Source organism: Homo sapiens, chromosome 2, assembly GCF_000001405.40.
Source record: "Homo sapiens chromosome 2, GRCh38.p14 Primary Assembly".
NCBI lineage: Eukaryota > Metazoa > Chordata > Mammalia > Primates > Hominidae > Homo > Homo sapiens.
The window spans coordinates 148,232,303-148,246,713 of record NC_000002.12 but is presented as its reverse complement, the minus strand read 5'-3'; the positions used below and the strand labels follow the sequence as shown (position 1 = coordinate 148,246,713).

At 34.9% G+C, this 14,411-nt stretch overlaps 1 protein-coding gene across 26 annotated transcripts in view; it reads right to left on the bottom strand.

Annotated features, from left to right (window-relative positions):
- MBD5 (methyl-CpG binding domain protein 5) overlaps window positions 1–14,411 on the bottom strand; it is a 496,045-nt gene that overhangs the window by 270,258 nt on the left and 211,376 nt on the right. For 20 of the 26 annotated variants that reach the window (XM_047445056.1, XM_047445068.1, XM_047445088.1 and 17 more), the window contains one exon: window positions 13,319–13,469. The exons of the other annotated variants lie outside the window; for them this stretch is intronic. The gene's annotated coding sequence lies outside the window, so the exon portion shown is untranslated. The remainder of the gene's footprint in view (window positions 1–13,318; window positions 13,470–14,411) is intronic. 26 annotated transcript variants of the gene reach the window in all.

The window sequence follows — 14,411 nt, the reverse complement described above, 5'->3', positions numbered from 1 at the left end:
CGGCTCACTGCAACCTGTGCTCCCTGGGTTCAAGCAATTCTCCTGCCTCAGCCTCCTGAGTAGCTGGGATTATAGCTGCCTGCCATCATGCTAATTTTTGTATTTTTAGTAGACGTGGGGTTTCACCATCTTGGCTAGGCTGGTCTTGAACTCCTGACTTCATGATCCACCTGCCTCAGTCTCCCAAAGTGCTGGGATTACAGGCATGAGCCACCGTGCCCAGCTAGTAGCAAACAATTAAAAGCAGTTATCTGTAGATGAATTCCAAGGGTTGGGGCACTCAGTACTATTTAACATGTACACATAATACATGAATAAAAATTTTAAAAGGAGAAGAGAGTAAGGCCATAATAGAGAATCTAAGGTTGCATGTGCATTTTCACTCCACTCTGTGTTTTAGCACCCAAGAAAGGCAATGTAATGTTATGAGTGCTGGATTCCGATATATACAAATCCCAATTTGAATTCTGGCTCACTAACTGACTAACTTGAAAGTCCTTGGGCAAGTCAGTTAATGTTTTTTAGAGTATATTCCTTTATACAGAATCTGGAAATAATGATTCCTATCATGCAGATTTATTTTGAGGCCTAACTATAATCTATATGTAGCATAGGGCACTTAAAAATGCTCAATTAACAGCAATTTCTATCATTAATGATCATCTCTCTTCTTGCCAATAATAACTACATGAAACCTCATGTATCCTATGACTTCATTTTCATTTTGAAATCTGAATCACATACCAATCAGTTTAATATTTTCATCTATACTTTACAGCTAAGCAAAAGAGATTAAGTAAACTTGCCCAAATTCTCCTATTAGTAAGAAATTAAATTAGCAAGAAAACTGTATCCTCTTAGTTTACTTAATGTCTCATGTAAACAAACAGGAAAGCATAGAAAATAAGAAGTGATAGTCTATTCTGCTTAGTAGAATGTTTTCACCATAAACTTAGCTATAAGGTGATTAATGGTGGGAGAGTTAGAAGAAAATTTCCAAACAGAAAATAACTGTGAACCTAGGTACCAGCCCAAAGCCCAAGGTTTTCTAATACTCAAAAGATAAAAAGAAACTTAATTCTTTATACTTAAAGTAATATATAGATATATATTTTTTGAAACAGGGTCTCACTCTGTCTCCCAGGATGGAATGCAGTGGCATAATCAGAGCTCACTGCAGCCTCAGCATCCAGGGCTCAACCCATCTTCCCACTGCAGCCTCCTGAGTAGCTGGGACCACAGGCACAAGCCGGCACACACCACCACACTCAGCTAATTAAAAAAAATATTTTTGTCCTATCTCTATTAAAAATACAAAACATTAGCCAGGAATGGTGGTGGGCGCCTGTAATCTCAGCTACTCGGGAGGCTGAGGCAGGAGAATCGCTTGAACCCAGGAGGCGGAGGTTGCAGTGAGCTGAGATAGTGCCACTGCACTCCAGCCTGGGCAACAGTGCGAGACTCTGTCTTAAAAAATAAAAATAAAATTTTTGTAGAGACAGGGTCTCACTATGTTTCCCAGGCTGGTTTTGAATCCTAAGCTCAAGCCATCCTCCTGCCTCGGTCTTCCAAACTGCTGGGATTACAGGCGTGAGCCACAGTGCTTAACTTCTAAGTAAAATATTGCTAACAAGTTAGATTCAATAGTGATCATGTGCCTTCCTTAACTAACTCTGTTATTCATTTGTACGTAGGCCCTCATAATTTTGTAAAGCATGCTCTAAAATTTATCTTTTGTTTAAGATGGCAAAGGAGAACAATTACATATAATTTCCAGGAATGTAGGCTTGAATGTAGTAACTTTTTACAGTTGGTATTTGGCCTGGTTATGATTCATGGGTCATAGGAAAAAAAACCTCGCATGTCTCACTCCTGTGACAACTACTCCCTACATCTCAAGCACACTGTTTAGGACACCATTAACCATCTGTGAACCAGCTTTGAAGGGCCAGACCTGCAAATCCAGGTCCATTAAAAATGAAACAGAAAAGGTAAACTTTTTGAGGGCAGAGACTTCATCAGCCTTGTTTATTGCTGTGTCACCAGTGCCCACTACAATGCTTGGCAAATAGCACTCAGTAAATATTTGTTGAATGAATACTTTTTTAAAAAGTAAATACTAATTCCTAAGCACTTATTTGAGTTTTCAACATACAAAGACAAAATGATCAAGTACAAAGTAAAATAATGAATTAATTTTATAGCTCATGACATATTTCCTTAATTAAAAAAACTCACATAATATAGATTGAATGAAGGGCTACCTATTCAAAACAAAAATTCTGCTTCTTATACACATGCAAAGTCAATGTTATGGTTTAACTACTGTCTCATAATGTGGTACTTTTACCCACCCTTTATTAGTAAAAATAATAGTAATAGTAACTGTAACACTAATTTCTCAACTAAACTCTTATAGCCACTATAACAATATAAGCTTTACATACATTATCTCATTCACTCTTCACAACAAACTTATAAGATAGGTATTGTCACCATACTTTACAGATGAAGAAACCAGAGTTCAAAGAAATAATTTGCCTATTTTGTTCTATAAAATGGTGAAAGCCAGATAAAATCAGTTTAATTCTAAAGTACTTTGTTTTCCAGCAGAGACAGTTAACATACATACATAGGCTCACATTACATCTAGCATGCTGTCTTATCCCAGGCACTAGAGAATATTCGCCCATTCTTTCAACATTTTTGAACACCTACTATGTTCCAGGCAATATGCTAGGTTCCCTTAAAGATCACTTGTAATTCAGAAATACACATAAAAAAAGACACATAGCCAGATTTTTCTATAGAATCATAGTGCTAAGAAGTACAGTCTGAAAGTTTCTCCACTCTATACTTATCTATGTGTGATATGTGTGCTTTTGTTTGTCCTACTAAACTATATGCTTCTTTGAGGCCGGGTGATAACAGATTCATCTTCTTGGGTCCCCGAAAAAGGTCTAGCCTGGAGCGTTGGTCATAACAAGTTTTCAATATACACTGCTAAATATAAAAATATACATAAACTGAACTAATTTTCCTTGGGTAAGAAAAAATTTAAATAAAAATGTTATCTTCCAATTTTTTGTCAATTATCTTACAACTTTAAAAAAAACCCTCACACAAATGCCAAAACAAGATAGCTTTATTATTTTAAATATTTTACTTTATTGGTAAGGTTTAATATGATTGTTAAATTTTAATGGAAAATATAAAATATATTCTGATAAACAGAATAATCTACGTAAACAGGTTTGTTTGCTTTTCATATATTATAACCTTAGGTAATTTATTTTTAATAATACAGCTTTTCCCTACAATCTACATTAGCACATGTGATTGCATAGAGATAAAAAGATTCCATTTTAAAAAGTATAACAATAATTTTTCTATATTTCTCAGAGCTACTATTATGATTACAGAAATACATAAACAATTGATTCTGTAAGAATTCTATATAAAAAAAGAAATCACGTCCTGACAGGACTGACACTATACTTTGCTTCTTAGTCTAGATAAAAATAAAATCAATTTGAAAGGACAGATTTTAATCTCAGATGTTACTGAGCAGTTTTTTTTTTTTGGTGGAAAAAAGATATGTAGCAATTCATGCTATGCATTAGAGATCAGAATCTGGCCCTAAGTTTACGTGATTGATGGGCTTCTATTTGAAAAGGCATAAATGTGAATGGCAACTGTAATAATGCTTACAGAGAGAGTTAATGCAACCTCAACCAGTTTCCCCTGTTGTCTTCAGCATAACATTACTTCCACTATAGCAAAACGTTTTTGAAACCCACACATAAAATCCTATGCACTGCTTAAAAATAACACAAAACAATCTATACATACACACATTCAAAATATGATTCTAATAGGCAGGACAGACACGTTAACTACTCATTGCAGAGACCATTCAATAAGCAGTTTTTAAAATTACATGTTTAGCAAGGGTACAAATCACTCACTTTTTAGTCATAAGGAAACTCTGACAATAGAATAGCTCATTATATAGTGGTAGTTTTTTAATACATTCTTCACTGATCACATACACACATATTTATTTCACTGGGCCTGGTTTCTCACTGGAAATTCCATCTGACTCTAAAATCAGAAACTTCCTTAGACTCATTCTTCTTTGATAGAAAAGAAATACTGCAGTAATATCTTCTGGCGACCTAACAGTGGGCTGGCTTTAAGTGTACCCAGAAGAGAAAAAGGACACAGCCCAGAACACTGGCCATGCAGTAATGCCCTACTTATTTTTCTATATTTCCTCAGAATTGCAGTTAATTCTTCTTGATGTGATAATATGGAAATGAATATATATATATATGTGTGTGTAATATAGAAATGAACCTCTGGCAGGCATAAACTTACCTTACATATTTAATATAATTAAACTGTACTTCTGGTATCTAGTAGTAAGGTCTTAAGTGATTCATCCCATATAGTAATATTTGACCTTCCAACCTTATAGAATAATTATGGTAATAAAGGGAAGTAGTATTTACAAGTGTCAACTTCTAGGTTATGTGTCACATGCTTTACGTATATTTTCACATTTAATATTCTAAAGCAACTCTGAGATACATATGATCATTTCCACTTTACATACAGGAACACTGAAGATCAGAAATTTGGAGTAACACAGTAATAAACAGCAGAACCAGGAATCCAACCTAGGTCAAAGTGACTACACTAATGATGAAATGAAATAATAAAGCAAACAGGTAAATATGAAAGTAAAAAGACCCAGTAATTCCAATTCAAGTAATTAATCAATAACTTAAATCACACTGACTCTCTCACTGACAACAACTGTAAATGGTGAAAAAATACTAAAGCCAATAAGCAAAACACAATTATTTGAAGACATGTTAGAGAGTGACCAAATGAAGGCAGAAATAGAAAGAGTGAGGATTTGACCCTTGAAAGAAGATAACATCACTGGGCAACATATAATTCTACGTTTATATGGCTCTCCTGAGGTACAATGGTATATGAGCAAGTAGAACTTAAGCAGAAAGCCACAGTCTTACTTGCTTGAAGTATCAGAGGCCAGAATTCAGGGTTGAGAGAATGGCTGAAAATCGAGGGTCAGGGAGGGGGGGCCCAGAAAGGAAGAAAATACAAAGCAGGAGTTACAATATTTGTATATTGATTCCGACCTAGGCTGGCACCTAAACTGTACATGCATGGGGAAGACTCCAAAAAACCCAGTGGAAAGTAACAGCTGGAAAGCAAAAATAAGGATTTCTTCTACTGCTCATTACATGAGACAAAGAGTTTCGAGTTTGAACCCCATCAAATAAAAGCAGATTAGTAACACCTCAGGCTTTCCACAGAAATCCATAAAGGACCACGTTTTAGGAGTAAATATTATATCCCTATACTAAGGAAGTCACCTAAGGATTAAGAACAAAACCAAAATAGATCCACTCTCTAACAAAACATCAAACCAAGCCTTCACTAGATAAATGTGAGCAGCTACTGATTTAACTGTTAGAAAAAAGGTCAATACTCTTCAGAAGAAGATAACAGAATCTAGAGTCTCTACAGTGTGTCATCTATATCTAACATACAGTAAAAAATTTCTTAGAAATGTAAAGAAACAGAAAAATATAAACCAAAGTCCACAGAAAGAGCAGCCAATAGAACAGACTCTGAGATGATTCATACATGTACCTTATGGCAGCTATTACCGAGAACATAAAGAAAAAGATCATCATAATAAATGCCCAAATAGCATTTCAGCAGAGAAATAAAACCAATAAAAAAGAACCAAGTATACCTAAAAATGGATAAAATTTTATATTATATATATTTTACCATAACAAATATTTTTCAAAAGCATCACATGCAAATTATGAAACTAAAAAGTATAGTATCAAAATGAAAAATTCACTGGATAGGCTTAACAGCACATTGGATATGGCAGAGAAACCAGCCAGTGAACCTGAAGAAACAGAAATTTCTAAAGAATAGTTAGTTCTATGTAAGTTTTATTACATGAAATATCTGTGACAATTGCCTGAATACTATATGGGACATGACCAAAAAGAAGATATATACTAAAAATGTAGTAATGATTAGAAAGAGTCTTCACTAGAATGAGCTTTACTAGAATAAGCAGTTGAATTAATGTTAACAATTCATAATGAGGTTGGGTGCAGTGGCTCATGCCTATAATCCCAGCACTTTGGGTGGCTGAAACAGGAGGATTGCTTGAACCCAGGCATTCGAGACCAGCCTGGGCAACATGGCAAGACCCCATTTCTTTTTTTTTTTTCTTTAATTATACTTTAAGTTCTAGGGTACATGTGCACAACATGGAGGTTTGTTACATATGTATACATGTGCCATGTTGGTGTGCTGCACCCATTAACTCATCATTTACATTAGGTATATCTCCTAATGCTATCCCTTCCCCCTCCCCCTGCCTCACGACAGGCCCCAGTGTGTGGTGTTCCCCACCCTGTGTCCAAGCGTTCTCATTGTTCAATTCCCACCTGTGAGTGAGAACATGCAGTGTTTGGTTTTCTGTCCTCGCGATAGTTTGCTCAGAATAATGGTTTCCAGCTTCATCTATGTCCCTATAAAGGACATGAACTCATCCTTTTTTAATGGCTGCATAGGATTCCATGGTGTATATGTGCCACATTTTCTTAATCCAGTCTATCACTGATGGACATTTGAGTTGGTTCCAAGTCTTTGCTATTGTGAATAGTGCCGCAATAAACATATGTGTGCATGTGTCTTTATAGCAGCATGATTTATAATCCTTTGGGTATATACCCAGTAATGGGATGGCTGGGCAAGACCCCGTTTCTACAAAAAATCGAAAAATTAGCTGGGCATGGTGGTGTGCAGCTGTGGTCCTAGTTATTCAGGAGGCTGATGTGGGAGGATCAGGAGGTTAAGGCTGCACTGAGCCACGTTCATGCCACTGCACTCCAGCCTGGGCTACAATGCAAGACCCTATCTCAATATATGTGTGTGTGTGTGTGTGTGTGTGTGTGTGTGTAAGTAAATAAAATAAACTTGTTCATTTTGAAATGTCAATAATTTTTCTTAATTTCTTACCCATAATATAACCCATAAACATTATCAATAAACGTTACTCATAAATGTCAACAATTTTTCTTAATTTCTTACCCATAATAATAAAAGGTGGCCCTGGTTTAAACAAATATGGAAAAGGAAATCTTACCTAAGTTCATTTACAAAATATAACTATAAGTATGATTATAAATATAAATGCTATACCATCTCTAAAGTCGTAGGGCATTTCATTTGTTGATGCATGTAGTATGTATCCTGTGATCTTGAATCTGTAAACCTATTGTTTGAACTCTGATGTCAAGTAAACAAAGCAAGCAAAATGATAGCTATTGCTTTAAATTTTAACAAATAAAGCTAGAGAGTAGATAGGAAAATGAATGATCAAGGAACTGTCGATGTCCAAGAAATGGTGGTGTCAGATATCACTAGGCAAAACATGTAGATCTAGTCATAGATCATGTCTTATCACAAGTGAAATAACATCTTTTCAGAGGCTGAACAGAAGAAATTTGTTTTCAAAATTCATTTTTCTTTTCTAATTCTATTCTCAGTTATATATATATACAGACACCCACACATATATACACACACATATATACACACTCATACACACACACGTGTGTGTGTGTATATAATATATATATATATATATGATAGAGTTATGGGTTGAATTATGTTTCTCCAAAAATATGTTCAAGTCCTAACCTCTAGTACCTATGAATGTGAACTTATTTGGAAATATAGTCTTTATAGATGTAATTAAGATGAGGTCGTACTGAATTAGGGTAGGCCCTAATCCAATCCTTATAAGAAGAGCAGAAGAGAAACAGACACACAGGGAGAATGCCATGTGATGATGAACGCAAAGATTGAAGTAATATGTCTACAAGCCATGGAATGCCAAAAATTGCTGGCAACGCCACAGCCAAGCAAAAGGAACAAATTCTCCCCACCAGGCTTCAAAAAGCAAGGCTCTGCCAACAACTTAGTTTTGGACTTCTAGCCTCCAGAACTGTGAGAGAATAAACTTTCGTTATTTTAAGCTACACAATTTATGGTAATTTGTTATAGCAGACCTAGAAAACTAATATTAATAGAACAAAATTATCTGTTTCTTTTTATTTTTCTAGTGGAAGTATTGAATCCATTTTTCAGACCAAATAAACATCTGATCGATATATACATAAAAGAGATTTAATCCCAAGAAGATTCCTCAAATCACTCTGTCCTATAAATGGAATATTTCTCTAAATAATAGTGGTTGACTTCAGTTAAAATTTTAGAACAGTCCATGCATACCCTACATTTTTAAACAAAATTTGGAATGTACATAGTTTCTATGAGACTCAGATTAATAACCATTGGTATAATGTTTTCTAATGTGGTTTCTGGATAAATCACATTTTCATATTTTTAAACATGAACTCTAAACTGCTTGTTTGGACACTTCAATGTGAACAAAATTTAGCAGCAGTAAAACAGAAACAATGATGTAAAACAAGTTTGGCATAAATAGAATGAGCAAATTCATTGTTCTTTTTTAAGAATTGAGCTTGCTATGAAGAAACCTGTTTTCAATTATTTTGCAGAGTGGGATAACTATGTCATCTGTTTATTGAATTACATGTTAGGCAGTGCTAAGAACCTAAGCTTATTACTTATATTATCTATTCCATTTAATCCTCACAGTTATATTATTATTAGCACTCAAATTTTAAAGATATACAAATTGGGGGTGAAAAAAATCAACAATTTGCCCATGGTCACACAGCTGGTAGAATGCACGGTTGTGGTTAATAAATCAGCCTTAATCAGTTCTGTGAATTTGAGTTCTTAAATGTAGGCATACCTCATTTTCTTGTGCTTTGTTTTATTGTACTTGGCAAATTGAAGTTTTGTGACAACTCTGCACTGAGCAAGTCCATCGGTGCCGTTTTCACACACAGCATGTGCTCACTTCATGACTCTGAGTCACATTTTGATAACTGTCACAATATTTCAAACTTTTTCATTATAATATCTGTTATGGTGATCTGTAATCAGTGATCTTTGATGTTTCTCCTGTAATTGTTTTGGGGTGCCACGAACTGCCTGAACATAAGAGAGCACACTTAACTGATAAATGTGTGTTCTGAATACTCCAATGCCTGGCTGTTTCCCCGTCTCTCTCCCTCTCCTTGGGCCTCCCAATCCCCGAAAATACAATATTGTAATTAGGCTAAGTAATAACCTATAATTGCCTCTAAGTGTTCACATGAAAGGAAGAGTCACATGTCTCTCAGTTCAAATCAAAGGCTAGAAATAATGAAGCACTGTAAGGAAGACATGTCAAAAGCCAAGACAAGCTGAAAGCCAGGCATCTTGCGCCCAACAGTTAGCCAAATTGTGAATGCAAAGGAAAAGCTCTTGAAGCAAATTAAAAGTGCTACTATGGTGAATACATGAATGATAAGAAAGAAAAACAGCCTTGTTGCTGATACAGACAAACTTTTAGTGGCATGGATAGAAGATCAAACTGACTACAACATTTATTTAAGCCAAAGCTGAATCCAGAGAAAGGCCCTAACTCTCTTCAGTTCTATGAAGGCTGAGAGAGGTGAGGAAGCTGCAGAAGAAAAGTTTGACACTAGCAGAGCAAGTTGATTCATGAGGTTTAAGGAAAGAAGTTGTCTACACAACATAGAAGTACAAAGTGAAGCAGGAAGTAGTGATGGAGAAGCTGCAGCAAGTGATCTAGAAGCTCTAGCTAAAATCATTGATGAAGGTGACTATGCTAAACACCAGATTTTCAGTGTAGATACAACAGCCTTCAATTGGAAGAAGATGCCACCTGGGATTTTCGTAACTAGAAGAAAAGTCAATGTCCCACTTCAAAGCTTCAAAGGAACCACTGATTCTCTTTTTAGAGACTAATGCAGTTGGTGACTTTAGGTTCAAGCCAATGCTCATTTACCATTCAAATAATCCCAGGGCCCTTAAGAATTATGCTAAATCTACTCTGCCTGTGCTCTATAAATGAAACAACAAAGCCTAGAGGACAGCATATCTGTTTGCAGCATGATTCGCTGACTATTTTACGTTTGCTGTTGAGACCTACTGCCCAGAAAAAAAATACTCCTTTGGAAAAATTATACTCACTTATAGTATACCTAGTCATCCAAGAGCTGTGATGAAGATATACAAGGAGATTCATGCTGTTCTCATGCTTGTCAACATAACATTCCTTCTGTAGTCCATGGATCAACTCTTCTAACTTGAAAAGTCCATCGACTTTCAAGTCTACTTAAGAAATGTATTTTTTAAGGCTGTATCTGCCTTACAAATAGTATCTGCCTTACAAATACAAATAGTGAATCCTCTGACCAATCTGGGCAAAGTAAATTGAAAACCAATTTACTTTGTCAAGTCAAGTCAATTGATGTGGCAATATTCCTTGCTGTCTTATTTCAATATATCGCCACAGCCATCCCAATCTTCAGCCATAATAAAGGGTCTTGCCTGGATGTTAGCAACCATCAACATCCAGGTAAGACCTTTCACTATCAAAAGGAGGCCAGTATGGTGGCTTATACCTGTAATCCCAGCACTTTGGGAGGCTGAGGCAGGCAGATCGCTTGAGCCCAGGAGTTCAAGACCAGCCTGGGCAACATGGCAAAACCCTGTCTCTACAAAAAATATAAAAATTAGCCTGGTGTGATAGCGCATGCCTGTATTCCCAGCTATTCGGGAGGCTGAGGTGGGAGAATCACTTGAGTCCAGGAAGTCAAGGCAGCAGTGAGCCATGATTGCACCACTGGACTCCAGCCTGGAAGAGAGAGTAAGAGCCTGTCCCCGCCACCCCCCAAAACACTCCCCCTTTTTTAGAAAACTATTTTAAAATTAAGGCATGTGCATTGTTTTTTAAAGACATGATGCAATTACACACTGAATAGATTACAGTATAGTGCAAAGATACCTTGTATATGCACTGGGAAAAAAATGTATGGCTTGCTTTATTGTGGTAGTCTGGAACCAAACCTGCAATATCTCTGAGGTATGCCTGTAGCATTCTTATAAATCATACCTGCTACGTTCAACTGCCTTTCTAACCTCTAAAAGTTTTTGCCAGTATAACTTTCCCTAAAAATGTGGAAAATAAATGAAATAGCACTTTGGATTAGAATTATAAATATCTGTGGCTTATTAATTACATGGTCACAAATAGAATGAAATTAATAAAAAACAAAGGGCTTGATTCTTAATAAGTTAAAGCTATATACCATTGATACAGTCTGATGGTTAAAGAATAACTGAAGCTCAAAATAATATATGTGTGGATGAGTTAGGAAAGGAAATGTAAGAAAAAGAAATTTGATAGTATAGTCAGTCTTCTGTATTCACAAGTTTTGCATCTAAAAATTCAAGCAAGCTTGGATCAAATACATTCAGAAAAAAGACAATACAAATAACATGACAACAATAAAAAATAATCAGAATAAAAAATATAACAGCTATTTACCTAGAATTTAGGTTGTATTAGGTAGTATAAGTAATATAGAGATGATTTAAAGTATAAGGAGCATAGGTGTGAGTTATATGCAAAAACTGCACTATTTCATATAAGGGACTTGAACATTCCTGGATTTTGGTATTCATAGGGGGTTCTGGAGTCAATCCCTTGCAGATACCAAGGGAGAAACGTAGACTACTTATGAGGAAGCATGGTTTATGAGAATATTTCTACTAATTAAACAATGATCAATTTTTAGTAGTTTTTAAAAATAGTTAAGTGGATTATACCAAACTAAGAAAATATTTAAATAATATTTAAAATGCAATTCCAGGAAAATAAGTTTTAGAAACAGTTAATAAAAGTGCATAAAGGGTTATAAGAAAGAATTTTCTGCTTCTGAGAGCTGTTATACTAAATTGGCTTGCTGAAGGAAGCAGTGGAATCTATTTCTTTGAAGATCCTTAGAAATAGAAGGCATACATTATCAGCAGTTCAGAAAGGTTTAGGTGTGTCTCTGCCAGAAAACAGCCAGTGGATATAACCACTTCATGGTTCCATAAACTCTGTTGACTGCATAATAATACTATTGTTATAATTGTGAGGCAAAGGCAACACAGCTGCTTTTTCTTTGGTGATCAGGATTTGCTGTCCAAAAAGTTGCAGAATAAATTGAATGTAATTAGATGAAATTTTCCCCAACAGAAAAGCAAGAATTAATTTTGACTCTAGTTACTGAAAGAAAACTCAGAATCTCTACACTGGGCTTTTTAAACATTTATCATTGTCTTTATTTATAGAAAGCATTCCTCTTATGTGAAACTTAAAAAGCAGACACGTTTTCATGGATGACCTCAGGCTGATGAGTTGAATTAACACTAAATAAAAAATTCTAAGCATATATATATAGTTTCTTTGTATGAAATCCCTTGAAAGATTACATTTCAGTGAATTCTACTTAAAATTTTAAAAGTGTATATTTTTATTTTGTTTTATTTTCATCTACTTAAGTCTATATTTTTCATGAATGTAGAAAAAAAGCCAGATTCCTTATACACTTAAAAATATATATGGTCAATTTCTTTCCAAGCAAGCTTTTCTTTTAAAGGTAATGTAATCAATTTGAAATTTGAAGGTGGCATTGTGGTCCACAATCCTTGCCCAGATGCTCTTTGGGAGCAATAGGAGCTGTCATGGAATTAACTAAAAGTTCAATGAAATATTTTGATGCAGAATTTTCACAAAATGTAAAGCTGTGAGAGTTTTAAAGGGATAGCTTTCCAAGATTTTGGAGCACTGTAGATTAGTTGTTAAAGAAAAGGGAGGAAAAATGCTGGGCTACCTTTAACTATATAAAACTCATAAATAGTATGACTAACTCTAAAATAAATAGAAAATAATTCTGATTTCCAATTTTATTTAGTATTTACAGTTATATATGTGTCCAAGAGAGATATGAAAAAGCCCTGCTTTCAAATATAGGTACTTAATTTTGGTTATTTAAATCCTTGTTCTGTATTTCAGGATTTAAGATAGCCTTATTCTATCTGTTACTCTAGAGGTAAGGGCAAATGCATCTTAATGTAATTTTTGACATGCTATAGTGTTAAAAGAGGAAAAAAAGAAAATAAAGAAAAAGACATGCATACATAAATTCCTACAGGAAATAATACTTTTCATTTTAAATTAAAACCCAATATAATTCTACTTGTGTCTACATGATTAATAACAGAAAACTCATAGTAGAAATATTTCATTGCTTGCCTCCAAAAAATTGTTGACATCCTCTGTTGCCATCTGCCATGGTGGTCATTCCTCTGTGTTTGATGGAACTAAAGAAGCATTAGGGTTCTATGGATTGATGAAGGAAAATAGTGTGTGCTCTTCTTGATTTCTGGTATTTATTTCCTTGGTCCTGTTAAAAACGATACCAGGGTGAATTTACCAATTTTGAACACATCCAGTTATTCTGTATTCTTTTACATTCATATTTAAGGAAGTTTTGAGATTTTTATGCAGTCTCATTTAAAATCATAGAATTTTAGACTCTAACAGAAAGGGCTTGTTAAATTTAAGACTGAAGATTCAAAAAGAGCTATATCAATCAGGTAATTCAATCCACTTTACAGTACAGAAAACCAAAATCAAAAGAGGTTAAATAAACAACGTTATAGTCAGTGGCAGATCGGAGATGAGAAAACAGTTCTTTTTACTCCAAGTTTGGGGGCTCTTTCCTCTAGCTGGGGCTCTTTCCCTCTTTGAGAAAAGAGAAGGAGACTGGCAAGAGCACTATAATGACCAAGCTGATTTCTTAGCTCTAACACTTAGGGAAAAATCTAGAACAAAAACCAAAATATTTAGATTATCAATTCATAGCATACCATTCACGCAACAGATACCTAAAAGATATTATTTTGTTAAAATATAATATAGGACATTATTTTATTAAAAAGTATCTATACAGTGTTGGCAACATAGTGAGACTATGTCTCTACCAAAAAAAAAAAAAAGAAAAAAAGTCAGATATGGTATTGCATGCTATACTATAGCCCTAGCTACTCGGGAGCCTCCACCAGGAGGATCACTTGAGCCCAGGTGGTCGAGGCTGCAATGCACTACAATCATGCCATTGCATTCCAATTAGGTAACAGTGAGACGCTTTCTTGAAAAAAACAAAAAAAGTATCTATATGATCACACATCATTAAATTTCTGAGTTTCATCCATTGTCATGATCACTTATCTTTTCCAATCCTCACCACTGCAACCATCTACTACTCTACTATCCACGTAACAAAAGAATGATTTTTAAAAATTATCTATAGAGCAACAGAATGACATTTTTAAAAAGAAAACTG